Source organism: Homo sapiens, chromosome 10 (assembly GCF_000001405.40).
Source record: "Homo sapiens chromosome 10, GRCh38.p14 Primary Assembly".
NCBI lineage: Eukaryota > Metazoa > Chordata > Mammalia > Primates > Hominidae > Homo > Homo sapiens.
Window position 1 is genome coordinate 96214234 of NC_000010.11, and position 26470 is coordinate 96240703.

A 26470-nucleotide genomic window follows, 5' to 3' on the forward strand; every position below is an offset into this window, starting at 1 on the left:
AGGCTCCTACACCTCTCTGTGCTGTTAATGGGGGTCATGGGCACCCCTCAGTGTCTTGGGCTCAGCCTTGGGGGTTGCCAAAACCTATAGGAGCAACCAGGAACATTCATGGTTTGGGGGTAGGGGTGACATGGCAAAGACTAGCTTTGTGGTGAGATGAAACTGGTAACATCTGGAGGAGTTCAGCGGCTCAGTCCTTGTCGCTGAGGAGAGAGCCAAGAGGCAGGGGTATGGCTGCTGGACAAGAAGGTGCAAGGTGGCTGAGTAAAGAAAGCCCAGACTAGGGTGGTCACAGCTAAAATGGAACAGCAAATTCAGGAGAAAAAAAAGCAGGATTTGGAGCATGTGGCCTGGAGGCTCTACGCATTGAGAAACAGGGGTGCCCGCAGGGGAGGGAGGAGTGAGTTTAGAGTCCTGTGTGGGAGCATCAAGGTGTTCAGAAGGGAAGTCAGGTTGGGGTTGGATGCCAGGGAGTTACCAGTGTAGACTTGAGACATGAATCCAGATTAATCGATGAACGCTACAGAAGTGAAAAATCATTCTCTCTCCTCAGCACTTAGTGTGTACCAGGCACTCATTAAGAGTTTCGCATTCACATTTGCAGAATTCTCCTGTCACAGAGTAGGGGCTATGAGCACCATTTACAGAAAAGAAAATCTGATGCTTGGAGAGGTGAAGTACAAGCCCAAGGTGGCATAGCTGGTAACGGGGCACACTGGGGTTCCAACCGAGGTCTGTCTGGCTCAAAACCAAGCTTGTAACCATCATGATGTTCTGAAAGAACTGTGGGTTGAGGGCTGAGGGCTAAATTCCGGGACCCCCTCAGTCAAGGAAGGGGACACAGAGAAGCCAGCAAGGTGCCCAGGAAGGTAGGGTGAAAACCAGAACTTGTCTAGCAGATGCCAAAAGGCCTGGGGAAATGGCCACTTCCACACACGTGCCACCAGACAGTGCATGAGGATGAGGACTGGCCTTCTGTTCCCAATATTAAGACATTTGGAAATACAAGTGATTACTCTTCATAGTTGATCTGTTTTTCTTATTTGAAATAGACGTAAAACCAAACCAAATCACACATACACTTTACCTGAAGCTGTTCCTGGAGGAGAGGCGGGCGTTGAGGAATTTGGCTTGGTTGATCTATTCACCATGGGAGCTTAAACACAGAAATGTGTGTGTATATATATATATATATATACATAAAACCATTACAGATACATGCCATTGAGGAAAATTCACACTCAGGGAAAAATGATGACCAGACCAGAGAATTTGCAAAGAATGGGAGACACCCTTATTAGACACACAAACCAATAAAAGAAGTCTTCTTAGAAGAAACATCTTTAGAATGGGAATATCAATGACAGATTCATAATTTGATATATTATTATTTGATTATTTGATGATAGAGATCTTGTTAAAGTGAATAATGGCTTTGAATTTCATTTGCCAAGTGGGAGGTCTAAGAGATAAAGGAGTTTTATTGTTTTTGTTTTTCATCAAGAGTGTATTGAACCCCTTACTGGAGGGGCCCAATTAATAGCTCCACCTCCCCTACCAGATGCAATACACACCATTGCTCTGGGATTTCATGGGTTTTTTTCTGTTCTTTTTTGTTTTTTTAAAGAGGGGTTGGTAAGGAGGGAATGTGTATTTGTTCTTTTGTGGTAATGGGTGGCTTGGGAATTCAGGTGGGTCTTGAAGCTGTTGGTGATAGGTACGGAGTACGGGAGAGGGTTGCTACATGATGGCGGACTGAAACCTGAATATGGCTACCATGGAGTTGAGAGTAGTAGATGAGTAATGTTACCTGAAGAGGTATCACTTGTACTGGATCATATTCTCCATAGTGACTATATTCAGAGTAAACATACCCTGTTTCCATGCCTAATCTTATGTAGCACTGGCTTTTTAAGGTAATTCATTGGTCATAGCATTTGTTGTTCTGTGAAGGGTTTACGGATGAAATGTTTCATAGGCTTATCATACTACTAAATTTAAAGAACCAGGACTCAGGGCATATTTCACTCTTTCATTTTTTCACTCCTCTGCAGAAACTGTTCTTGGTGCAATGTTTACAAGGCCAACATGGTGGCTTGTGACATTGTATTAGGTTTTATGAGAAATCCATTTGAAGCGAGGGCAGCTGAAGAGAACTACCCAGGTGCTTTCATAATGTGAGATGGGAAGATTAAAGCATGGAAGAGGAAGGGGAAGGCAGGGAAGGGCTATGATACACAGAGATGGGTTGTCACTGATGCTGTCTGCCCAACCAGCCAAAGAAGCACACACTGTGGCCCAGGGGAGAAAGTCCTGGGCACTGTCATTTCTGAGCCTCTTAGTGCTTACTACCAAATACTCTTATACATCCTGATCAACTGCTAAAAATTTTCAGGTGCTTAAGGCGACAAACTCTTACCTTTTTCAGGTGGAGGTGAACTGCTTTCTGTGGGATGAATATAGTTTTCATCATTATCTTCCACGGGGACCACATAATCAGCCTAACAGAAATACAAAACTGAATGAGAAGAATGCTGTACATTCATAGTTGACTGTATGGGAGGGAGTGATTTTTTTAAAAAGCATTATTGAGACGCAATTCACATATCATAAAATTCTACTATGTAAATTGTACAATTTGGTGACTTTTAGTATATTCACAGACATATACAACCATCACCACAATCTAATTTTAGGACATTTTTATGCAAAAAGAAACCTTGCACCCATTAGTCACTCCCCATCCACCGCTTCCTTGACCTAGTCGACCACAAATCTACTTTCTTTCTCTATAGATTTTGCCCATTCTGGACATTGAATATGCACGGAATCACACAATCTGTAGTCTTTTGAGACTTCTTTCACTTAGTATAATGTTTTCAAGGTTTTCCTGTGGTATAGTATGTATCACAACTCCCGTCTTTTTATGGCCAAATAATAGTCTATTTTATGAGTATGCCACATTTGTTTATCCATTCATCAGCTGATGGACATTTGAGTTTTTTTCCACTTTTTGGCTGTAATGAATAATGGTGTCATGACTATTCATGTACAAGTTTTTGTGTAGACATGCATTTCTCTTGGGAATATCCTAGAAGTGAAATTGTTGAGTCATATGGTAGCTCTAAGTTTAACAGTCGGAGAAACTGCCAAACTGTTTTCCAAAGAGGCTGCACCATTTTTCATTCCTGCCAGCAATGTATGAGGGCTCCAGTTTTTTCATATCCTCACCAACACTTGTTATCATCCTTTTTATTACAGCCATCCTTGTGTGTGCAAAATGATATCTCATTATAGTTTTGATTTGCATTTCCCTGAAGACTAATGATGTTGAGTATCTTTTTATATACTTATTGTCAATTTTTGTATATTCTTTGGAGACATGTCTATTCAAATCTTTGCCCATTTTTAATTGGGTTGTTTATCTTTTTATTGAGTTATAAGAGTTATCTATATATTCTAGTTATAAGTTCTTCATCAGATATACAATTTACAAAACTTTTCTTCCATTCTGTAGGTTACTTTTTTACTTTCTTATTGGTATCATTGGTGGCACAAAACGTTTAAATTTTGAAGTCTGTTTTATTTATTCTTTTATTGCTTGTACTTTTGATGTCATATCCAAGAAACCATTGCCTAACCCAAAGCCATAAAGACTCATATCTGTGTTTTCCTCTAAGAGTTTTACAGTTTTAGCTCTTACAGTTAGGTCTATGCTACATTTTCAGTTAATTTTTGTGTATGGTGCGAGATTAGAAGTCCAGTTTCATTCTTTTGCCTGTGGATACATCTAGCACCATTTACCTAGCACTATTTGTTTTAAAAAAGTATTTCTCTATTGAATCGTCTTAGCACTTTTGTCAATAATTAAATGACGATAAATGCAGGGAGGGAGAGATTTTATATTGACAAGACACAAATGAGGTAACCAGATCTCAAAACTGGTTTTTACCACCTGCCCTGGTGGGCAGCCAAGAAGGGTACTAGGAGAAACAAAAACAAAAATTTATTGCCAGGTGTTCTTCTAAGTACTTTACATGTTTTTTTTCTCATTTAATCCTCTAACAACACAATAAGAGAGATATCACCATTGGCTCCATTTCCAGATGAAGAAACTGAGGCACAGAAAAATTAAGTAGTTTGCTCAAGTTGTCAAGTTTAAAAGTGGTAGACCCAGAAGGGCACAGTGGCTCGTGCCTGTAATCCCAGAACTTTGGGAGGCTGAGGCAGGTGGATAGATAAGAGTCCAGGAGTTCAAAACCAGCCTGGGCAACATGGTGAAACCCTGTCTCTACAAAAAATATAGAAAAATTAGCCAAACATATTGGTATGCACCTGTAGTCCCAGCTACTCCAGAGGCTGAGGTGGGAAGGTTGCTTGAGCCCAGGAAGCTGAGGCTGCAGTGAGTTGTGATTGCGCTTGGCAACAGAATGAGACCTTGTCTCCAAAAAAAAAAAAAAAAAGTGGTAGATCCAGGATTTGAACTCAAGCAGTTCAATAATTTAGCACCCATACTTTTATCCACCACATTCTAGTACCTTCCATCCTCCCCCTCCTCTTTCTGTCTTATCTATCCTCTCTTTATTTAATTGCTATTTCTTATCTCTTTCTTCACCTCTGAAGCTGGCCGAGAGGCACCAGAGAGTTCTACTCACACATCTCAATCTGCAGTTATATTTAGAGATGATCTGGCTGAGGGAGATGAGGCTTTGGAATCATACAGACCTGGGAGGAAATCTGTGCTTGGGTCTTTTCTAGATGTATGACCTGTGGGGGAGTTAATTGCTGAATCATCGGAAGTTCTCCTGGATTCTGCCATTCAGAGGTGGGCACTTGCTCCTCTGTGGCACAGGGAACCTGGTCCTCATCTCTGCTTCGTCTCTGGCCCCACAGTGTCAAACTATGAACTCCCGAAGGGCAGGGCCTTCTCCTTCTCTGTGTTTGTGTTTCCAGTACCTGGCCAGTCGAATGCCTCACTGAATTGAATTGAAATTGCCTAACCCAATAGCCAAGGCTGGGATGGGCTGACTTAGCAGCTTTGAATAATGGGATGTTGAGTGGCTGCGGATCCCTGCAGGACCTTTTTGGTTCTATGGGTTCACCTTTTCGGATTCATTAGTAGCCAGAGTGACATGCTTTATAAGAACCCAACTTCTCTTCTAGGCGTTAGTTCCTATAAAAGGAGAGGCTGAGCCCCCAGGAGGCATGCCACCCTCTTAAACCCTGTAGTCAACAAAATCCTTCAATATCTTATGTCTGAACACAGAATATTGGTATTGACACTTGGCAATGATGCCTGAATGGATATAGGGAAGTTGGAAGCTCCAGGCCCTAACCCAGTCCTACTTGACCACTTCAAAATGTATTCTTTCCTCTGTATTCTTAATTTTGTACTTGTTTTGTTCTGCAGTGCTTGATTACAGAAAATGTTTTTATCTGCAGTGTTTAGAATCTGAGCTGTTTAGAGTCATGATGATATAGGAGTTAAGAAAAAATTACTTAGGCAGATAGTGAGGGTAAGATGTCCTTGGTAAGGTTTTCCTTTTAATAAAAAGCAGCCCCAAAATCATTTTCTTTTCTAACAAAGAGTAGCCTGTAAAATCAAGCTGCTGATATAGACAAGCAAGCTGGAAGCTTGCATGGGTGAATGCTGGCAGTTGTGCCAATAGGAAAACGCTACCTGTGACTAGGCATGATCAAAATGGTGGCTCTGTCTTCCCCTCTCTTTGCCAGCCACCTGTACAGTAAGGAGCAGACAAGATGGCACTGGCCAAGTAGAAAACCCATTTGTATAATAAGATTAGGGTGGGGCGACCAGCCTCTTCTGCACCATGTAAATGTCACTCCTGATCAAACCAATCTGTGGACCCTGTATAAATCAGATATCACCTCCTGAAGCCTGCCTCTAAAATCTGCTGTGGTCCACCTCAGGCTTGGTTTTCCCTTCAGATTCCACTGTCTTGCAAGAGAGAGAGAGATGCTCTCCTCTCTCCTTTCTTCTGTCTATTAAACTTTCTGCTCCTTAACCCACCCACACGTGTCCATGTCATTAATCTTGTCAGTGCGAGACGACGAACCCCAGGTATTTACCCCAGACAACGATGCCACTTCAATGATATTTCTGGAATGGAGACATTTGTATTCCCAAAGAAGACTGATAGGAAAAAAGACTCGATCCAGTCTCAACAAATTCTGTTTGTAGTGTCTGCCCAACTTTCTCATCTTTATAGGGTTTTAGGAGAAGGAATGTAAAATGTATATTCCCAGCATTGCAATTCAATGCTTTAACGTTGTTATTGCTGAAATAAGTAAATGACCAAGAACCATCACATTTTATGTCCTTTATTAGGACATAATGTGGTCTTATTGACCACTTTGACATTGCTGCAGTGTTTTAATACCAACCCCCTTCTTTCATGAACAAAACACAAAAACTTGACTTCAGTGAATCAGTGATTGGTCTTTTGAAGCCAGGTAGATTATTATACTACCATGACCTACAGGTATTAGAAATCCTTCTTCAATTATTACAATGACATGATTCAAAATTAAAAATAGATTAAAAATCATCTTAGATCAACTCCAATGTTTAGATGTTTCAGTATTAATAAGACACTTGTCATAATTGTTTACATGTTTGCCTCCCCCTAGGACTACAGATTTGAAAAATAGGAGTAGCGTGAATTTATCTTATTTTCACTTTCCCATCGGCTCATACCCTATTACTTAGCCGGAGTCATTTTGATTAGCTATTAAATGCCCACATGGGCTGCATCCTCATTACCACTCATATAAGCATTTAAAAGCTTTCCATACATTATTTTATTGAATTCTTATAAAAATACCCTCTAAATATATTCCCTCTGTGACCTTGGGTAAGTTTCTTAGCCCCTTTACACCTTTGTTTCCTCATCTGTAAAGTGGGGCTGATGATAGACTTCATAGGGTTAGTGTGAGGATTTAATGAGATAATGCATACAAAGTGCTCAGAACACCAGTGGATACACAACATTCTCCAAGTGTTAGCCTCTCTCATTATAGCACAGATGCTCCTTCCTCCTAAATGTCTTTGCCCCACCTCCAGCTCTCTGTTTAGCCTGTATCTCTGTATTTTGCCTATAACCTGCAGAGCAGGGTTAAACACTTTTATTTATGCTTGTACTTGACTTCTTCTTTTCCCAACTAATGGTTCAGCCATATCTTAATGTTGGCTTCTGTTTGTTTGTTTATTTGTTTTTACACCTCTTTCTTATATTGGCTCTCTATCTGCCCATTCCAGAACGCCCCCGCCTTCATACTTCTCTTTTTCCCACTGGTGCAGACTTGCCTGAGCCACCTCCACAAGGCTGCTATTAGCAAACCTCTGCCCTGACTCCCTGGGGTCCATTCTCAGTTATTTACAGAAATGAAGAGCCTTACATAACCCACAGTATTCATCTGCATTCTATATCTGAATTTGTGTCTTCATGTGGAATTGCCAAATGCTGAAATAATTTACAGTGAGATCCTAACAGCTGGTCTCCCCATCCTGTCCCCTCCCCTGCTCAGCTTCTCTTTGCCACCCTATTCCCACCCTTGAAAGGACAACATCGCCTCTCAGATGGGTAGGTAATAGTAAGAAGGAGTGTGTGCAGGGTGAGGGTGTGTACATGCACTGTATGCATTGTGGGAGCTATGACAAATCAAAAAAGAGACCAGGATTCACAGCTGAGAGAGAGGGGGATGCCCTGGGGCCCAGTTGCTTTGAGGCCATGGCTGGCCTGGTGTTGCTAGATCTTCAGTTTTCAGAAGAAACTAGAAAACTGGATTTTGTCAAGGCTCTAGAATATGGTAGAAAGGAATCCGACATATATTAAACCCCTCTGTGTGTGAGGCACTGTATTTAGTGCTGTACATATGTTCTTTTATTAAATTCTCAAAATAACAGAGATGAAAAACAGACTCATAGAAGTTGTCTAGCTTGCCCCAAATCATACACCTAGAAGGGCCAAAGCAGGAATTTGGGCCTAGATGCTGCATCTATTTTTATTTAAAAGTCCATCTTTTCCATCTCCTGCTGGGCTGCAAATTTTATAAAGGCGGAATGAAGGTCATTTCACAACATGTGTGTAAGCCATAAGTTTTATCCTCTACAGGCAAGTTATTTCTTAGAGAAGCTGCAGGCTGGTCTCTGTCCTTATTTAAAATGCAGGGACCTCTGGGAGCCATAACACATTAGGCTTTATCAGTTACTACGACAGCTTGGATGAGTTTACCTATTCATTTTCAAATAGGAGCTATTTCATAGGGAAAACAACACAAAGGGCTAGGTGCTGAGACAGGGAAGATTGAGGAGGTAAACCCAGAGTTGGATGCTGGGCCATCTGAAAAGGTGGGTCTCTGGACACCTGCTGGGGCAGGGCAGCTGTGGGGAGGGAGGAAGTGAGAAGCAAGAGCTGTCAAAGGGAAGTGAGGGATTAGCTCCTCCACAGGTTGTGCGGGGTACCTTACAGACTAGCTATCTCCATTGTACATCCTGGCCCATGTCACCCTCTGCATCTGAGAAGAGGGAAGTGGAGGAGCAGAGAGAAAAGAAGGTGGAGGAAAGAAAGCAAGGTGGCGACAGTGTTACAGTGGGTATAATAGCTAGTCAGGCATGAGCAGGGCAGGAGAGGGCTCCCCTGCCCCAGGAATGTCAGGAGACCATCAGGTGATTGTCAGGTGGCTGTTAATTGTCTCTCTAAAATAATAATTGGTTACAGCCAGCGCCAGGGAAAAGCAGTCTCCCAATAGATAGAAAAAACCTGAAACTGGTGATGAGCAGTTTCCGATAAGATCTCAGGAGTTGGGCAAGTGGGCTCAAGCATGCGCATTAAGAGGCAAAATGGCAGCGTTTAACTGGTACTTGACCTTCTAGAAACATTCAGCTGGTAAGGCAAGAATGCTTCAAGGGATCGTGCGTACAACTCCGGTAAGCACACTGCGCATGCTCACCTCCCAAATGCTAGCAGGGCACTGCACAAGCGGACAGCCCACACAAAGGAAGAATCAGGGGAGAAGGGACAAAAGACCCCGGAAGTGTGCTAGTGTATAAAACCCCAACTCAAAGGTCAAACAGCGCACTGGATCTCTCAAGTCGTCCGCTTGGCCCTCTTCTAAGTGTACTTGACTTCTTTTCATTCCTGCTCTGAAACTTGCCTTGGTCTCTCCTTCTGCCTTACGCCCAGGAGGCAAGAATTGAGGTTGCTGCAGACCCATATGGATTTGCTGTCAGTAACAACAGGACAGAGAAGCAAAGGAGAATAAAGAGAGAGGAAGAACATCTTAGGAAGGAAAGAAGAGATTCACAGGAAACCCCAGGGAAGAAGGAGGGGATAATATGAGGGGCACAGACTCAGTATTGATATTTTACCATACACCTCTAGTAAACTGACATATTTACAATAAGCCATTTTGGAGAAAACCAAGTCCCTTTGGTATAATAGTGGAGAGTTAGAGGGGGCAGTCAATAGCAGGTTGTAAAGAAGGAGGACAGCCAGCGGGCAGGCTGTCCTGGTCGCTTGCCCCACCCCCCTCTGTGTCCTGGGAAGCCTTTGGCACAGATTTACTTTACCTCATCCTCAAGGAGGCCTTTGGGTTTGGGTGGGACTTGAGGTTTCTGCAAAGCAGTCAGGGCCGGCAGGGTGGAGGTGAGCCTTGCTTTCTCTGAAGGCCAGCTGGGCTTACTGGGAAGTGTCTTGCTGAAGGGTGGGGAATGCCTCTGGCTTGATCGATTGTCTTGAAAGGAACAAACAAAAAACATAACATAAAAGAGGCTCTGGATCATTTCCTGGGTGGAAGCCATTGAGATCCAGAAAGTATAAAACCACGGGTGTCTATGTAGCCACAAATGATCCACGGGGCATTCCTTGAAAGAGTAAAGTGAAATGTTAGGCCCAAAATTTCAACTGCTTATTGACTTAAACGACAAAAACTGGAAGAACGTCCTCATTAAAAACATCCTTCCGGGGCAGTGATGGACACCCAGAGGTTCAGGAGAACCAACAACCCAACACTTGGCCACACAGAGGGGATGGAAGCAGCACTGGAGGGCACAGGGTGGGGGTGAGGTGCTCCTGGCTTTTAAAAATGCCAAGGCCTAGGCTCCACCCCAGCCTGGCAACGTTTGAACTCCTCGGGAGGAGCCTGGCATTACAGGTTGGAAAAGTTCCCCAGGTTATGCTAAAGTGTATCCAGGTGGTGATTACTCACGTGGATCAACTTCCATGCTCCTTCCCTCAGTGATTTCGCTCCATTCACAGGGAATCTGTGGGATCCCTTTGGTCCAGGACTGTCCTTCTCATCAGGTATCAGAAAAGGAGTCAGGCTCTAAGGCCAACTGGATCTGAGTTCTGTCCCTTGCTCTGCCACTCACTAGCTGTGCTCTTTGGGGCTGGTTATTCAACCTCTCTGGGACTCACATTCTTCATTGTTATTTTTAATTTTTTAATTTTTTATTTTTTTGAGACAAAGTCTTGCTCTGTTGCCCAGGCTGGAGTGCAGTGGCATGATCTCTGGTTACTGCAACCTCCGCCTCCCAGGTTCAAGTGATTCTCCTGCCTCAGCCTCTGAAGTAGCTGGGATTACAGGCACCCACCACCATGCCTGGCTAATTTTTGTATTTTTAGTAGAGATGGGGTTTTACCATGTTGGCCAGGCTGGTTTTGAACTCCTGACCCCAAGTGATTCACCCACCTCAGCCTCCTGAAGTGTTAGGATTACAGGCATGAGCCACCACGCCTGGCCAACATTCTTCATTTTTAAAATGAGGATCGTAATATCGACCTTAGAGATCTTGAGGGGATTAGGAAGATTGCAGTGAAGGCAGTAGGTACAGTGTGTCTGCCTAATAAGTAGAACTTATATCACCTGTGCCATGTGAGAGAGGCGTTAGGCGGCCTCAAGTCTACCCAGTGATTCAGTGAGCTGAGCATAGATTCAGACTGATGTGTTTTAGGAAAATCTTGGCATAGGAATAACCTGGCATGTTCTTCATACTGGGAACAGCACAGGTGCTAGCACTGGCCTCTGGATTGCATCACTGGCCTCTTGCTGCTGCTTCCTGTGACAGCCCCACCTCGCCCGGTGCAGCTGTCCTTGCCTGTTAGGCCCTCGCCTCTATGCTCCTGGTGCCTGCCCCTGCCCTCAGCCCTCACTCCTTGTTGAAGGTATGTGGTTAACTTCACCTCCGCTGCCTCCTCAGAAGCCTCTTTCTGGTGGTGTGGCTGTACTCAGGCATGAGGGCATCCTTCCTTCTGTGCCTATAACTCTTGTCAGTTTTATTTGCAGCTCCTGGAGTTTACTCAGATTTCTGAGTAAACAAATATTTAATGTAATATTTAAGCCCATCAGAAGTAGCAAAACACAGGAGACAGGCTTTGAAGAGTGTGATTTTTTTTTTTTTTTTTGAGACAGAGTTTCACTCTTGTTGCCCAGGCTGGAGTGCAGTGGTGCGATCTTGGCTCACTGCAACCTCCGCCTCCCGGGTTCAAGTGATTCTACTGCCTCAGCCTCCCTAGTAGCTGGGATTACTGGCATGCACCACCATGCCCGGCTAATTTTTTTGTATTTTTAATAGAGACGGGGTTCTGCCATGTTGGCCAGGCTGGTCTTGAACTCCTGACGTCAGGTGATCCATCCACTGTGGCCTCCCAAAGTGCTGGGATTACAGGTGTGAGCCACCGCGCTTGGCCAAGAGTGTGTTCTTGAGTGAGCCACTTAACCACCCTGAATTGCAGTAGCCCTTTCCTCCCCAGGGTTGCTGTGATGATTGAAAAAGATCATTCACCAAGTATGGTGGGTGGTGCACAGAGCCGAGTTGTGATGAGCTGGGCTTCGGAAGCTGAGAGCCCTGGCTTGTATCCCAGCTCCATCACTTAGAGGATCTTGGCCCAGTCAGTTCACTCCTCTGACCTCTTTCAGGATTATCGAGGAGGTTAAGTAGACCCCCAGGGGAAAGCACTAAACTGTAAATTAGAAGATCTCTGGGAGTATGTGCATCTTGAGTGCAGCTGAATGCTCAGTGCTTAGCATAGTTCTGGTGCATGGCAGGTGCTCAAAAGATCAACTGTGGCAACCCAGTAAGCCCAGCTGGCCTTCACTTTACTTTCATTCAGTGAAGCAAGGAGCAGTGCCTGGTACACTGTAAGGAGGGGGTTAATGGCAGTGAGATATTACATGTAGAGCCGGTCCATACAAATGCTGGCATCGCCATGACCATCACAGACATACTTGCTCTCTGAACCTTTGGGGAACTTAGTCACCTGCCAAGACTGGAACAAAGATGGGCATTAAAATGCATACTTGGGGCCAGGCGCAGTGGCTTATGCCTGTAATCCCAGCACTTTGGGAGGCCGAGGCGGTTGTATCACTTGAGGTCAGGAGTTTGAGACCAGCCTGGCCAACATGAGGAAATCCTGTCTCTACTAAAAATACAAAAGTTAGCCAGGCGTGGTGGTGGGTGCCTGTGGACCCAGCTACTCGGGAGGCTGAGGCAGGAGGCTGGACCCAGGAGGCAGAGGTTGCAGTGAAGCGAGTTCATGCCACTGCACTCCAGCCTGGGTGACAGAGTGAGACTCTGTCGCAAAAAAACAAAACAAAACAAAAAAAAAAACAGACCCAAGCTGTGTCCATTTAACCCATGAGGCTTATTCCAGGCTTGGGGCTCCTGAGCACCTGTATCCCCTGGTAAAACCGCATAGTCTGGACTAGGCATGGGAGGAAGGTGAGGCAGACACTGGGATCCTCGAAGGTCATTGTTTTGTACAGACTTCTTAAGAGAAATCCCAGAACCTTGAGCACACGAAGCCCTAAAAGTGGGACTAATCTCAGGGTTGCTTTCCCTTGGAGTGTTGGGAGGGAGCACAACCATCAGGGTATGCTGGGTTTGTTGTTTGTTTGTTTGTTTGTTTGTTTGTTTATGCCTGCTTTCAATGTTCCCAATCTAGGAAAGACGCCTCTTCCCCTGGAATGGGAAAGCCCTACAGCTTGGGATCCTTTACCTCGGAGCCCAGATCCCCTGCTTGGAGGTGGCGGGAGCGGGCGGCTGGCAGAGGCCCTCAAGCAGCAGCCAGGTTTGTCCCCACCCCGCAATCTTGGACACCCCCACCTCCCCATGGGCCTGGAAGGCCGAGTGCCCAGGTCTGCGGGGGACCTCACCTATATACTCGCCTCTGGCGAAGGGCAGGGCTGGGTGAACCGGCCTGGTTTCCTGCTCTACTGGAGGCGGCTCGTAGCTGTCATCAGCGTTCTCCTCGGCGGGCATCACGTACATCTCTGAGTCCGAGTGCTCATCTGGATTTTCATAGTCGCTGTCCTGCAAGTGCAGATGCAGACACTGTGCTCAGCATCCCCGTCTGTGCTGCCTGGCCGTCAGGACCATTCCTGCCTTGGGAGGCCAGAGCAGTGACAGGAGACAAGGCTTGGAGAGGTTGACTTCAAAAGGCTAGGCAGCCGATAAGAGGCAAAGCTGGGGTTTGAAGCAGGCCTTTCTGCCTCCAAAGTTTATCGTCTCCACCACTGCACTGTCCTTGGGGGACACAGGAACTACTTAACGCTAATGGGAGCTGACACTCTGTAGATCCACAACAAATAACAAGAGGAGATAATAAAACATATTTTTAAAAGATAGGAAAATGGCCCAATAAAATAGAATAACCAATGGGTTTTATCTATTATGAATGCTGATCACTGAAGAGAAAATAGGTTTAATACGAAGAGGGTGAGGAGACACACAGGGCCAGCTAGATATCTTTCAGATGAGATTTTTTAAAAATTTCAAGCAGAATTGGTAAGCTGCAGGGTCAAGGCTTCAAATGGACTCAGGGTTTGCTCTCTTTTTTTTCTTTTTTTTTTTTTCCTGTTTTTGAGATGGAGTCTCACTCTGTTGCCCAGACTGGAGTGCAGTGGCGCAATCTCAGCTCACTGCAGCCTCTGCCTCCTGGGTTCCAGCGATTCTCCTGCCCTAGTCTCCCAAGTAGCTGGGATTACAGGCATGCACCACCGTGCCTGGCTAATTTTTTTTTGAAACCGAGTCTTGCTTTGTCGCCCAGGCTAGAGTGCAGTGGCAGGATCTCAGCTCACTGCAACCTCTACTTCCTGGGTTCAAGTTATTCTCCTGTCTCAGTCTCTGGAGTAGCTGGGATTACAAATTGCACCACCACGCCCAGCTAATTTTTGTATTTTTAGTAAAGCTGGGGTTTCACCATGTTGGCCAGGCTGGTCTCAAACTCCTGACCTCAGGTGATCTGCCAGCCTCGGCCTCCCAAAGCGCTGAGATTACAGGCATGAGCCACTGCGCCTGGCCTGTTTTTTTAAAATCCACATTTCATTTAAGTCCACACTGAAAATACATTGTCACGGTCTGAAGTCCAAATGGCTTAGAAGGATATAAAGTGCAGTCTCCTTCTCAGCCTCTCTGCTTCTCACCGCAGAGGCAGAAAGAGTCACTAGGTTTCTTGTGCATGTTTTTCAGAGGTAGTTTATGTATATACCGTTTGTACATATATTCATGTGGAGGAAATATTTGACTCAGGACATAAGAGGTCCTCTGGCCTCTGTGTCCACCGCCCTCACACTCTGCCTATCACATTGCATGATCTGTACATGACTTTCCACTTGCTCTTTGGCCTGTCGCCTTTCATAAGCAATTTTATATAGCAGGATTTTTTTTCCTGTTGGTCTTTAAAAAAAAAGAATTGTAGGGGTACATAGTAGGTATATATATATATGGGGTATATGAGATATTTTGAAACAGGCATACAACGTGTAGTAATAACATCTGGGTAAATGGGGTATCCATCACTCAAGCATTCATTTTTTGTGTGTGTTATAAACATTCCAATTATATTCTTTTAGTTATTTTTAAATGCACAATAAATTATTGTTGACTGTAGTTACCCTGTTGTCAAACACTAGGTCTTATTCATCCTAACTATATTTTTGCACCCATTAACTGTCCCTGTTTCCCTCCCCCCACCTGCTGCCCCCTCGACCACCCTTCCCAGCCTCTGGTAAACATCATTCTACTGTCCGTCTTTATGAGTTCAAGTGTTTTAATTTTTAGCTCCTACAAATGAATGAGAACATATAGCAGGATTTTTGTTTAAAATCAAGAAATTCTGGAGGCTTTATTAACAAGCCTGGATTTCATTCTGCGTGCAGTGGGGATCCATCTACTGAAGTCAAAAGAGCTGTGAGTGAATGCTTACTCAGTCTTTAGTACAGCTGGTATCTTCATTTTGGTTGTCTGATTTTGGGGCAAGTAATTCCTTCCTCTCCAGGCTGATTTTATTTTGTGCTTTCTAAGTTCCCTTGTGTGCTCTTTTTCATCCAGCCAGCTTGCTCAGTTTTCTTCTCTTACCTCTGCATGTGGACCAAGCAATTTCTTTGCTTTACATGTGGCTGTGTGTGTGTGTGTGTGTGTGTGTGTGTGTGTTCGTGTGTGCACGCGCGTGCGCAGCCAGCAGGGGGCGCAGCTGCAGTGCATCTCAGGGAGCTGCGGCTGCTGGGCCCCAGGAGGAGCTCCATGACCAAGAGATGGGCAGAAAAGTCACCCCTTCCCCTCATTTTTCTTTTCTTTTTCTGCAGTTGAAGAAGGAGGAACTCCTGTCTTCTGAGACTCTGTATAAACTCCAGGTAGTGTGCACAGCCCAGGGCTGGGCACAGGACTGGAGGTCTGAGTCCTGGGTTCTCATTCCACTGAACTGGGTGATTTTCATTCTCTTGGCCTCAGTTTTCTTATCTGTGAAATGGGTATGTGGTTGTATGGAAGGCTTCTTGGATCCCTTCCAGATCTAAAACTCACAGGTTGGAGCAGGCTAACATTCTGGATGAATTTGATATAAGTGAGGAATAATTATTGTGAAGAAAAGTTTTTAGGATGTCAGGCCTTGCACATTTCAGAGCTACCTCAAAGAGATAATTCTGATACAACATCCCCAGTGTCATCATGGCCAGGTCCCTCTCTCTGTGGCTCCGGAGCTCTGCTAATGTTCTCTTGATCACAGCAAGCACCTTGGTGGCAAAGAGCCTGGTCCTGAGATCTGAGGGCCTGGGTCTGAATTGTGGAACTGCAAGTGACTGAAACTTTCTAGACCTTGGTCCTGGAGGCCCCCTGATGTGCCAGACACTTATTCTTTAGTTGTTGGTTCGTTTAGGGCTCCTGGGCAGGGGTCAGGCAGTGATGGGCACTGGGGAGTTTAGGGCAGAGGCATTTGCTAACTGATATGGAAACATTTAAACATTTTTACACCTGTTTTGGATGTGCTGGTGAGTACTCTGAACACCAGCACTGAAGTTGGGCATAAGAACACCTACCTCAAAGGTTTAAATGAGGTTATGTGTGGAAAGCTCTTAGCCAGGCGCACACTGAGTGCCAGTCAAGTCAGCTGGTATGCAGTATGCCTTGCCTGTAGGTGACCTTTCCAAGTCTTCCCTCTTGGGACGTGCGGCTGACCACCAGCATGTAATTCAGAAATAAGATCTTCAAAAGGCCTCCCATGGGACCCTGATGCCCTCCTGGTCCCAGGAGCAAATACTTACAAAGTCATCGGACCACTGCTCCTCTTCGTCAGCAGGGCTCTCTGCAACAGCAGGGGAGAAGCAGAAGGCACAAGTGTGAGCCTCAGCTGGCCAGCCCCAGCCCATCCACACACATTTCGCACCTGCCTTCCCTTCCCTTTGGGCTTTCTGGTGCCATATACTTGACCTTGGGTTAGTTACTACAATCATATGTTCACTTGCTTTTGACTTTTTAAAAAATATTAATTCTCAAAGCATAGAGAGAAGTCCCACTGGGCAGAGCAATGTGCGTCTGATCCATGTGTGGGCTTTGTTAAGGGACATTTCTGGGTCCCCCAGTAGAGACCTACAATTCATACTATGTGGCTTCTAAGGACTTCAGAGGATGGCGTAGTAGGAACAGCACAGGACAGGGAATCAGACAGACCTAAGTTCTTATCCAGGCTCTGTTCCGAATGCGTTGGAGTGTGGGCAAGACCTCTAACATCTCTGAGCCTCGGTTTCCAGATCTATACAATGAGGGGATCATTTCTGTGATCATCTCTGGCTCTAACTTTGACTTTTCTTGTTAAAAAAAAATTATCCAATGTCTTAGTATGTGCCAGGCAATATTATCAGAGCTTTGCCGTCTTTTAGCCCTCTCAAAGACGCTGTGAGGGGCTGGGCGTTGGGGCTTATGCCTGTAATCCCAGCACTGTAGTCCCAGCACTTTGAGAGGCCAAGGCAGGAGGGTTGCTTGAGCCCAGGAGTTCAAGACCAGTCTGGACAACATGGCAAGGCCCCATCTCTACAAAAAATAAAATAATTAGCTGGGTGTGGTGGTCCATATCTGTAGTTCCAGCTACTTAGCAGGCTGAGATGGGAGGATTGCTTGAGCCCAGGGGGTCGAGGCTGCAGTGAGCTGTGATTGTGCCATTGCACTCTAGCTGGGATGACAGAGTAAGACCCTGTCTCAAAAAAAAAAAAAAAAAAAAAAATCACCTAAACCTTGTGAGGAAACTGAGGCCTAGAGCAGATAAGTCACATGCCCAAGGTCAGATAGTGTAATAAATGGCAGAGCCAGGAGTTGAACCCTACAGGTTGCCTTCCACGGGCATGCGCTGAGCCCCCACATGGTGCTGCCTCGCTCCAGGGGCAGGAGGTGCCGTCCTGGGCTCTGCATGGGCATAGAAAAATGGATATGACAGGTTGTGGCCCTTAAGTAGTTTATGAGCTTGTAGAATAAAATAAGTCTGAATTATGACAGCCCAGGCGAATATTTGACCCCTTTCCCTCCAAAACACATTTAGAGTATGAGAAACTTAGCATCTAGCCTATCACATAAACTGACCTTAGAGGTTAAATGGGATTCACTCTGCTGTGTAGGAATCAAGCAGACACAGGCCCATGTGGCAGAGTGGCTCCATGACAGCACCACAGAGGGTCCCAGCTCCCTCCTGCCCCGCTGAGCAGCCACTGCCACAGAGGATCCAGTGGATGTTCCTAAATTTCCCAGAACCTCAACAGAACCTTTTCTAGTTTTATTTTTATGTTTTTGCTATTCCCCGCTGAGTAGCCACTGCCACAGAGGACCCAGTGGATGTTCCTAAATTTCCCAGAACCTCAACAGAACATTTTCTAGTTTTATTTTTATGTTTTTGCTATTTCTACCCCTGCCACAGCAGACCACCGGACTCCAGAGAGTCAAACATTTGGGGTCTCCAGAGGCACCAGCAAGGAATTGCAGAGGTGAAATGGGGTCAGGAAGGATACTGTGGGATCGGAGTGGCCACATTTTAAGCAATGGCGGCAGCAGCACCCTCTTTTGGGAAAAACATGATAGGTGCTAAGAAAGAGCCTCACTCTACAAGCCAAACATGGGTCACACTTTGACGTGAACAGAAAAGAATTCTTACATTATTCTTTGGGTTGACTAATGCTGAATTAGAGTGTACTGCAATCACTGGGGTTGGCCAAGAAACTCTAGAAGATTGGGTGAATAAATCCTCTTCCCAATATGATTACCTGGCACAATGGGGGAGTATGTTTCTTTTTCTTTTCTAGTCTTTTTTTTTTTTTTTGAGACAGAGTCTCACTGTGTTGCCCAGGTGGGAGTGCAGTGGCACAATCATGGCTTACTGCAGCCTCAACCTCCTTGGTGCAAGCGATCCTGCTACCTCAGCCTCCTGAGTAACTGGCACGTGCCACCATGCCCAGCTAACTTTTGTATTTTTTGTAGAGATGGGGTTTTGCCATGTTGCCCAGGCTGGTCTTGAACTCCTGGGTTCAAATGACTCACCTGCCTCTGCCTTCAAAAGTGCTGGGATTACAGGCATAAGCCACTGCATCTGGTCAATGTGTTTCTAATACCTTAAGTCTGGGGATCACTGAAGATCAACACTTAAGATGGCAAGAGTTTTTGTAACAACCATTTAAATAGAAACCCTTATAAAATGCCTTTATGAAACCCACTTCCCTGCCTGGATAACTGCATTTGCTCCACCCTTTCTCAGTGAGTGGGGGCCTATTTTATGATCAGTCACTGGTGAAAGTAGTGCATTAGCCATCTAACTAGTGTCCCTGTCTCCATTATCTTTCTTCTCCAATCCATCCATCCTACCGTTTGTAGTTATTTTATTAAAATAAAGTTTGGATTATGCTGTTCCTTTCCTTAAGAGTCATCAGTGACTCCCTATGGAATCAAGTAGAGGTTCTGTGGCAACACATTCCAATGCCTCTGCCTTCTGTCCCACCACCGACTTCTTGCGGCAGGCTCCCACGCTCACTAACAGTAACACCAGACAGCTTCCTCCTCCCGTTGTGCACTTTGCTGATTCTCTGCTCTGCTCGTGCCGTTCCTGCAGCCCATCTTCTTTCTTCCATGGAAATCCCTATCACTCCTCCTCCACAAAGTCTACCACAGTCTCTTGTCATAATCAATCACTTCTTTTTCTGGGCCCTCTTGGAAGCTGGTGGCACCGTGATGTCACATGTACTTCGTTCTGTCCTGTGCTGTGATTAAGTTGTTCATGTCTCTCTGTACTGAAAATAAGGCCTATCTAATTTATCTTTGCATCTGGACAGAATTTTGCATTTGTAATTAATGTATTAATAAATGTGTGAACTAATAAATGACTCAAACAAAGGAACATTAGGATAGCAACAATAGATTCCATTTACTGAACACTTCCTATGTGCTGGGTGCCAGGCTAAGTGTTATAAAAGTGTATTCTTATAACAGCACTATGTGGTAGGTGTTATTTTTATCTCTATTTTACAGTGGAGAAACTTGGTTTTGAAAGAGGTTGTAAAACCTGCCTGAGGCTACTTGGCTAGTGAGTTTGGGAGCTGGGTTGGAAGCCAGGCTGTGTTGGCTCCTGCAGCTGAAATCTCATCTGAGCCACTTAGCCCTCTGCTGAGCACTTAGATAAAACCTTGGTGAAACGAGAATGACCCAATCCAGACATCTTGGCACATGGAGACAGAAAAGAGAGAAAAGCATCATACAGTATGGGATAGAGGTTGTTTGTTGGTGCCCCATCGATTCCTAGCTAGACTATCTACTTCAGGTCCCAAGTGCAACTCACAGCATCATATTCATAAAGTTACAGTCTTGCAGGCAATTGCCAAGACTAAAAAGCATGGGAGTCCGAGGTATTAGGTCCAAAACAGTAGTCAGTTTTCCAGTATCTCAGGGAGCTTCCCAAAGTGCACAGGTGGTAGTTTAGAGCCAGGCTTTCTAGGTTCAAATCCTGGCTCTGACCTTTACAAGCTGCTTGGTCTTGGACCAATAATTTAATATTGTTTAAAGCTTCATTTCCTCACCCGTAAAGCAAGGATAAGAACAGTGCCTGTATCATATTTTTGTGAGAATCAAATAATAAAATACATCTGAAGCTCTTAGCAAAGCCTGGCACACAGTAATGCTTTAGTAATGTTACCGTCATCTTGAGCATTGCAAAGAATGCCTCAATTAACACTCAAAACACCACTGATTCTAATTTACTCCCACGTCAATCACACACTATGGCTACCACAAAGGCATGGATCCAAGAAAGCCTCTATTGTAGTGAGTAAAATTTGGGGGAGAAGTTCAAGCTTCATGTGGGCCAGGTGGATTGATTTTGTTTGTGTGATTCCATGGTCTCTGCCAGGAAGCTGAGATCCTGGGCGGGCCCTCTTGTCAGTTAAAGCCTTTCCTATGGTGTGGTTTACCTGGTTTGGGGCTTATGCTCCATTTACCATGTCATAATCCCATGCCACACAATAGAGGGACTCCTCCCTTTGCCTGACCCAGGTTTTAAGATTCATGTAGCCCTCCCCAGCCTGTGGGCACAGCACCAGACACAAGGAGATGTGAGAATGGCCACAGCGGCCCACATTTGGGCTTAAGCTCTGGGGTCAGACTGCCTAACTTAGAATCCTTATTCTGCCATTTTCTAGGAGTGAGATCTTAGCTGAATTGCTTCACCTCTGGGCCTCAGCTTCCCCTTTGCTAAAATGGACATTATTAATCGTGCTTAGAAGAGTATCTGACATAGAGTAAAGGGCTCAATGAATGTTAGCTATTACAATGAATTTACAGTCTCTGCAATTCTCAGAACAATCTAAAGGATAGGTATTCTTATCCCCAGGTCAGAAATTGGAGGCTCACTCAAATTACAAAACTGTTCCAAGTTCACACAGTGCTTAGGGAGCAAAGCCAGGATTCCAACCCAGGCCTAAAGGACCTCAGAGTCCAAGGTCTTCTCACCAAGCCACACTTCATAATACAAATAAAGACTAAGGGCCAGAAGAATGACCACATGAGACTGGGAAAACTCAGGGCCATGTAGTTTTCTGAGAAATGTCCCCACACCTGGAATCATTGCCAGGAGCGGGGAAAGTTCAGAGAAAGGTGTGCCCAGTGACAGCCAAAAACTTGCATGAGGCCATGTGCCCGAGGTGGGGCCGAATGGGGCCTTGAAGGATGAGCAGGATTTGGGTGAGAGAATAAGGATGAAGGAGTGTGTCTTCCTCCATCATCTGAGAGAGGGGCTTATGTGTCAGCCCCAGAAGCAGGGCTTAGAGGCAGATGTGTGCAGAATGAATGCGCTGGGCTGGAGAGGGACAGGAGATTCTGCTGAGCGCTCACACAAATCTGATGTGCTGCCGGCCAGTGGGGGCTCCAGCCATAGTGGACACCGCAGGCTCCAGTGACAAGCTGAGATGGGGAGCTGATGAGGTTGGTGTTTAGGAACTCAGGCATGGAAAGACGAAAGCTGATCCAGACCAGGGGGTCTGGGAATGGGAAGGGATGGCTGGAAGGACAGTACAGGACTCTGTGGTGGTGGCTGGGGCAAAGGGAGTATGAATCCAGCCTCTCAGTTCTGAGTCAATAGGAGCACCAGAGCCCCTGGGGCAGATGCTGGTGGCATCACAGCATGTCTGACATTCTGCCTCAGCTGCAGCCCTGATCCTGCTCTGGAGGCTACCCGGCCGCCAGACCCTGCCCATCTCTCCCCCAACAGAGCAGGTGGTGGCATGCAGGGAGCCAGTGGGAAGACCGCAGCAGGACACAGAAGGAAGGAAAGAGGGAGGGTGGGCCAGTTGTGGTGGTGGGGACAGACACCGAAAAGGAACAGAAAGCAGAACTACAGAGGCTGCAGGGGAGGCGGTGGGTGGCCAGTCCCACCAGTGCCGCCCTAAGAGGAGAAAGGGACATGATTTAATGTGGGGAACTGAGGACAAGACCCAGATTCAGGCTGGCTGAGAGAGGTGTTCTGAGTCTAAATACTTAACATCTTAGGCCAGGCATGGTGGGCTCACACCTGTAATCCCAGCACTTTGGGAGGCCAGGGCAGGAGGATCACTGGAGGCCGGGAATTTGAGAACACCCTGGACAACATAGTGAGACATTGTCTCTACAAAAAAGATTTTAGAAAATTAGCCAGGCATGGTGGCACATGCCTGTGGTCCCAGCTACTCAGGAGGCTGAAGCAGGAGGATCACTTGAGCCCAGGAGGTTGAGGCTGCAGTGAGCCATGATTGTACCCCTGGACCCCAGCCTGGGTGACAGGGCGAGACCCCGTCTCAAAAAAAGAAAAAAGAAATACTTATCATCGTAGAAACTCCCTTTGTCTGTATGTCTACTCATCCCTTCACAGGATCATTAACAGAGGGGTGGGGGTACAGCAATGGGGGACATAGTCCTGGCTCAGCCATCACCTCACTGCATGACCTCAGGAGTCACTTTGCCTCTCTGGTCTCCAGTTATTCCTAAAATGAGAAGCTTGGGTTGGGCAATCCTTCAGGAATTTCTAAGCTTTAAAATACCTTTGAGCCCAAGTGTCATTCCTCTATTCTTAGTTCCCTATGGCAGGACTGATGTTGGATATAGCTCTCCCATGTCAGCGTAAGACCAGTACCTCCAGGGGAATATGGACAGGGAGACAGAAAACCAGGTAAATGCTGGCTCCACTAGGAGCACCAGGCCCATGACAAAAGCAATGTTAAATCTCACTTCTTTAGTGGACAAAGGATTGTTATGCATACCCCATACTTCTGTGTGGGCATTTACCCAAGAATCCCTGTCCAAGTGCCTTCTTTGCTCTGGATTTTTATTTTTTTCCATGTAAGTGAGTTTGCCACCCCTCCACCCTATATTTGCTCTGATCTCCTCCCTGCATGATAGCAGAGCCAGAGGAGTCACACGTGGACCTCCCAGGGATGCCACCCCATCAGAGCCCTGGACATCAGAGCCCAAGAGTGCAAGAGAGGGGCTCTGTTCAGTTCTGACTCCTCAAGGACTTGTGGGGTAACCAATGGGGCATCTGCAGTGATCCCAGCAGACTCTCGGGCACCATGACTGGTCTCTCCCTGACCTCCATCCCCAGCCAGACCTCAGACTTCAAAGATACCGAAGGCTGTTCAACTGTGAAAGCTCAGGAACTGGGAAGCGAGTTCTTGCATTAATGTCAGGAGCTCTAGTGCCTTCAGAATAAGAAAAAAGTTCCCCCAAAAGCATGAACACTTGAGCTTGGGTCAAAGCAAGGAGCTGCAAAATGGGAGTCTGGGATGGGTTTTCCTCTTAGTGGCTGCAGTCACCTTGGACAGGATACTTAATGTCCTTGAGACACATTTTCCTCATCTGCAAAACCGAGATCGTAATTTCTATATAACGGTGCTAATGAGAAGATTAAATGAGATATGTCTGTGAAGAGCTTAGCTTAATGCCCAGAACAGAGTCAATACTCAACAGATTTTGGATATCTTCCCTTCCCACAGCAATGCCAGCTGCTTGGGGCAATGCATTCTGCCCAGTGGGCCAGCAGTTCCTTAGGGGCGATGTTTCCTCCTCAGGGAAAGACTGAACTGGGATTGCTGGGTCTGAACTGAAGGCAGCAGGCTCCACACTGGCCTGACCTGCATCCCTGGAGGAGACCCAGCTCTCCATTCTTTGTGTAATTCAAGCTTTGTCCTTCTGTACTCTAACTAGGGAAGAGGGTATGGTGACTCTTTTACTGACCTCCTGTGGGGCAGTTGCTGGTCCTTTCTATCCTCTGCTCTCTGAAGGTCAGCATCACCAAGGTCAACACACTCTTGGCTTAGAGGGTTTTGGGAAGCCATTTGTTTCCAGAACTGGAAAGAGGACATAAATCCAATGTGTGGGGGGAAAATGGCTGGAGCATTTCAGGAGCCTTTGGTGGATCAAGTGCTCCACAGGGCACGTGATTGGCCTCCCAGGCTCAGGAGGTCTGGTGGGCTCTGGCCTCCACACACTACAGTTTCCAAGATCCTAAAGACTCCCCAGGTTCAGGAGGAGCTCTCAGGGCTGATTTCTGAGGCCCTGGACGTGCAGCTGTGCAGAAACCTCAAGGCTCAGGGGAAGCAGCTGGAAATGCTCCTGGGATGTGAACTGGGGTGGGGGAGAGAACGGCAAGGGAGGATGCTAACTGCAGGTGGTGATGGTGGTTTTGGACCATTTCCGGGGATTGAGTGTAAGAGCAGGGGAAACTGGGCAAGGCCCCAGTCATCTGGCAAAGCAATAAGATGCATTTCCGAGACCCTGGAACATCAATGGATTTGCAGGGGTCAGGGATTGAGGGAATAAAATCTACGTGTCTTTCAGTTCAGGAAAGGCAATAGGGACAGAGATGGTGGTTTATAGCAGGGTTTCTTAAATATGATTTACATTCAGATCCCCTGGAGATCTTGCTAAAATGTAAATTCTGATCCAGTAGTTCTAGGGTGGGGCCAAGATTCTGCATTTCTAACAAGCTCCAGATGAGGTTGATGCTATCTTGCTGGGAATCAAACTTTGTGTTGCAAAGGCTTAGAAGATCCTGTTGGGCCACACTTCTGCATTCCAGGAGAGATTAAATGTTCTGACATCAAGACTATTTGGAAGGGTTCCAGGAAAGGGAGCAGGTGTCTGAGGACAAAAAAGAGAACACTTCAGAGCATCAGGGATATTGGAAGATGTGAATGCCTAAAGCCAGGGAATGTTAGGAGAGGCTCACTTTATCACTGGGCCCTGAGCCCCAGAGATCTGTGTTTCTGCAGGAGTGCAGAATAATTAGTATTAGAGGGGACCTGACAGATCTTCTAGTTCAGGCCTGCATAATATAGATGAGGAAAGGAGCATGAGATGCCCAAGATTACACAGCCAGTTAGTGGCTAAGCTGAAAGACCTTGTATGTGGGCTCAGTGGTTTGCAGTTCCTCTTGTTAGCAATGTAGAGCCATGAAAAGATTTAAAGAGAATTTTATTTCAGAACAATTTTCTGGTGGAAGTTGAGAGGACCACATGCAATCAGGAATTAAGCAGATTACTTAGAGCCTTCTACCCTAGGACAAGCAAGAGATGATGAAGGCCTTAGCTGTAGCAATGGGAATAGAGAGGGAAAAAATATTTAAGAGGCATTTAAGAGCAAATCAATGAGATTTGGAGATTAATTTTTGTAGAAGGTGAGGGAAAAGGAGGCATCAAGGTTGATCCCAAGTGTGTGGGTTAGGCAAAAGGATGAATAATAGATGGATGCTACCTCCCTTTTCCCCACGCAGAAATAGAGGGAAAGGAGAGGGCCTGGGTGGGTGGATCAGCAGGCAGACAGGTGAGTGTGAGGGGACAATCAGGAGGGAGGTCCACCCTGAAATCAGATATGTCAGTCCACTTAGGTTTCCAACAATTGACTCTGAACTCCTGGAATCTGTGTCCAGCATCTCTGATGCTGTTGGTTCATCTAAAAGTGGCAAATATTCCTGCACATTTGTCCCCGAATCCTCAAATTAAATGTCACCTTCTCAGACAGATCTTCCCACACCACCTAAGCTCTTCTCCTACCCCACACTGATTCCCCACCATTGCACTCTTCCATCTTCCCTCACAGCAGGTACCATGTTTGCTAATTTATATTTACCTGTTTGCTTTCTTGTTTCTTATCTGACTCCCCACTAGTCATTCAGCACTGTAAGGTCAGGGGTTGTATGTTGTTCCCCACTCCAGATCTAGCACAGTGACAGTCACACAGGACACACTCATGAAACACGTGTTGAATGAATCAGAAAATGTGCGAAACAGCTGAAGCACCTGGAGATGTTTATCCCAGAGAAGAAACCACTCAGATGGCCTAACTTCTTAATTCTCTCCTTTGAAGTTGCACAGGACAACTCTATTTTTATTTTTCTTAATATTTTTTTCTTATATTTTAAGAGATGGGATCTCGCTATATTGACCAAGCTGGTCTTAAACTCCTGGCCTCAAGCAATCCTCCCATCTTGGCCTCCCAAAGTGCTGGGATAACAGGTGTGAGCCCCTGTGCCTGGCTCTACTTTTCTTCATATTTAAAGGCTTGAACTGTGTGGCCATCAGGATAGACATAGGAAGTCACAAGGAAATTGATTGTATCTATATCCAGCCAGGGCTGCCTGTCCCTTGCTAGACCATGGGAAACCATCACAGAAAGTGTCCA

General features: G+C 45.8%; 1 protein-coding gene and 1 long non-coding RNA gene across 10 annotated transcripts in view, besides 5 other annotated features; both read right to left on the reverse strand.

Moving 5' to 3' along the window:
- Positions 1-26470, reverse strand: part of BLNK (B cell linker) — an 82399-nt gene that overhangs the window by 25063 nt on the left and 30866 nt on the right. For 3 of the 9 annotated variants that reach the window (NR_047683.2, NM_001258441.2, NM_001114094.2), the window contains exons 4-7: positions 16561-16601; positions 13177-13333; positions 9593-9756; positions 2420-2501 (exon numbers count right to left, since the gene is read on the reverse strand). Coding sequence is in view for 5 of the 9 variants with exons in the window: in NM_001258441.2 (NP_001245370.1) it covers positions 2420-2501; positions 9593-9756; positions 13177-13333; positions 16561-16601 (444 nt within the window). In the remaining 4 variants the exon portion in view is untranslated. Of the gene's footprint in view, positions 1-1087; positions 1157-2419; positions 2502-9592; positions 9757-13176; positions 13334-16560; positions 16602-26470 lie in introns of all 9 variants that reach the window. The other 6 variants (NM_001258440.2, NM_013314.4, NR_047682.2 and 3 more) reach the window with 4 other exon arrangements.
- Positions 7472-7971: an enhancer, noted in NCBI's record as "H3K4me1 hESC enhancer chr10:97981461-97981960 (GRCh37/hg19 assembly coordinates)". NCBI's record gives its function as "activates a minimal SCP1, AML or CMV promoter by ChIP-STARR-seq in naive H9 embryonic stem cells {active_cell/tissue: H9 hESC(naive)}" and the evidence as "EXISTENCE:reporter gene assay evidence [ECO:0000049][PMID:30033119]".
- Positions 11116-11616: an enhancer, noted in NCBI's record as "H3K4me1 hESC enhancer chr10:97985105-97985605 (GRCh37/hg19 assembly coordinates)". NCBI's record gives its function as "activates a minimal SCP1, AML or CMV promoter by ChIP-STARR-seq in naive H9 embryonic stem cells {active_cell/tissue: H9 hESC(naive)}" and the evidence as "EXISTENCE:reporter gene assay evidence [ECO:0000049][PMID:30033119]".
- Positions 15683-15742: an enhancer, noted in NCBI's record as "active region_3818". NCBI's record gives its function as "activates an Ori minimal core promoter by ATAC-STARR-seq in GM12878 lymphoblastoid cells {active_cell/tissue: GM12878}" and the evidence as "EXISTENCE:reporter gene assay evidence [ECO:0000049][PMID:35858748]".
- Positions 17501-24901, reverse strand: LOC124902487 (uncharacterized). Its single transcript, XR_007062255.1, has 3 exons — positions 24692-24901; positions 18152-24138; positions 17501-18048 (listed from the first exon to the last, which is right to left on the reverse strand). It is a non-coding gene; the product is annotated as an uncharacterized LOC124902487 (long non-coding RNA).
- Positions 22006-22505: an enhancer, noted in NCBI's record as "H3K4me1 hESC enhancer chr10:97995995-97996494 (GRCh37/hg19 assembly coordinates)". NCBI's record gives its function as "activates a minimal SCP1, AML or CMV promoter by ChIP-STARR-seq in naive H9 embryonic stem cells {active_cell/tissue: H9 hESC(naive)}" and the evidence as "EXISTENCE:reporter gene assay evidence [ECO:0000049][PMID:30033119]".
- Positions 22175-22274: an enhancer, noted in NCBI's record as "active region_3819". NCBI's record gives its function as "activates an Ori minimal core promoter by ATAC-STARR-seq in GM12878 lymphoblastoid cells {active_cell/tissue: GM12878}" and the evidence as "EXISTENCE:reporter gene assay evidence [ECO:0000049][PMID:35858748]".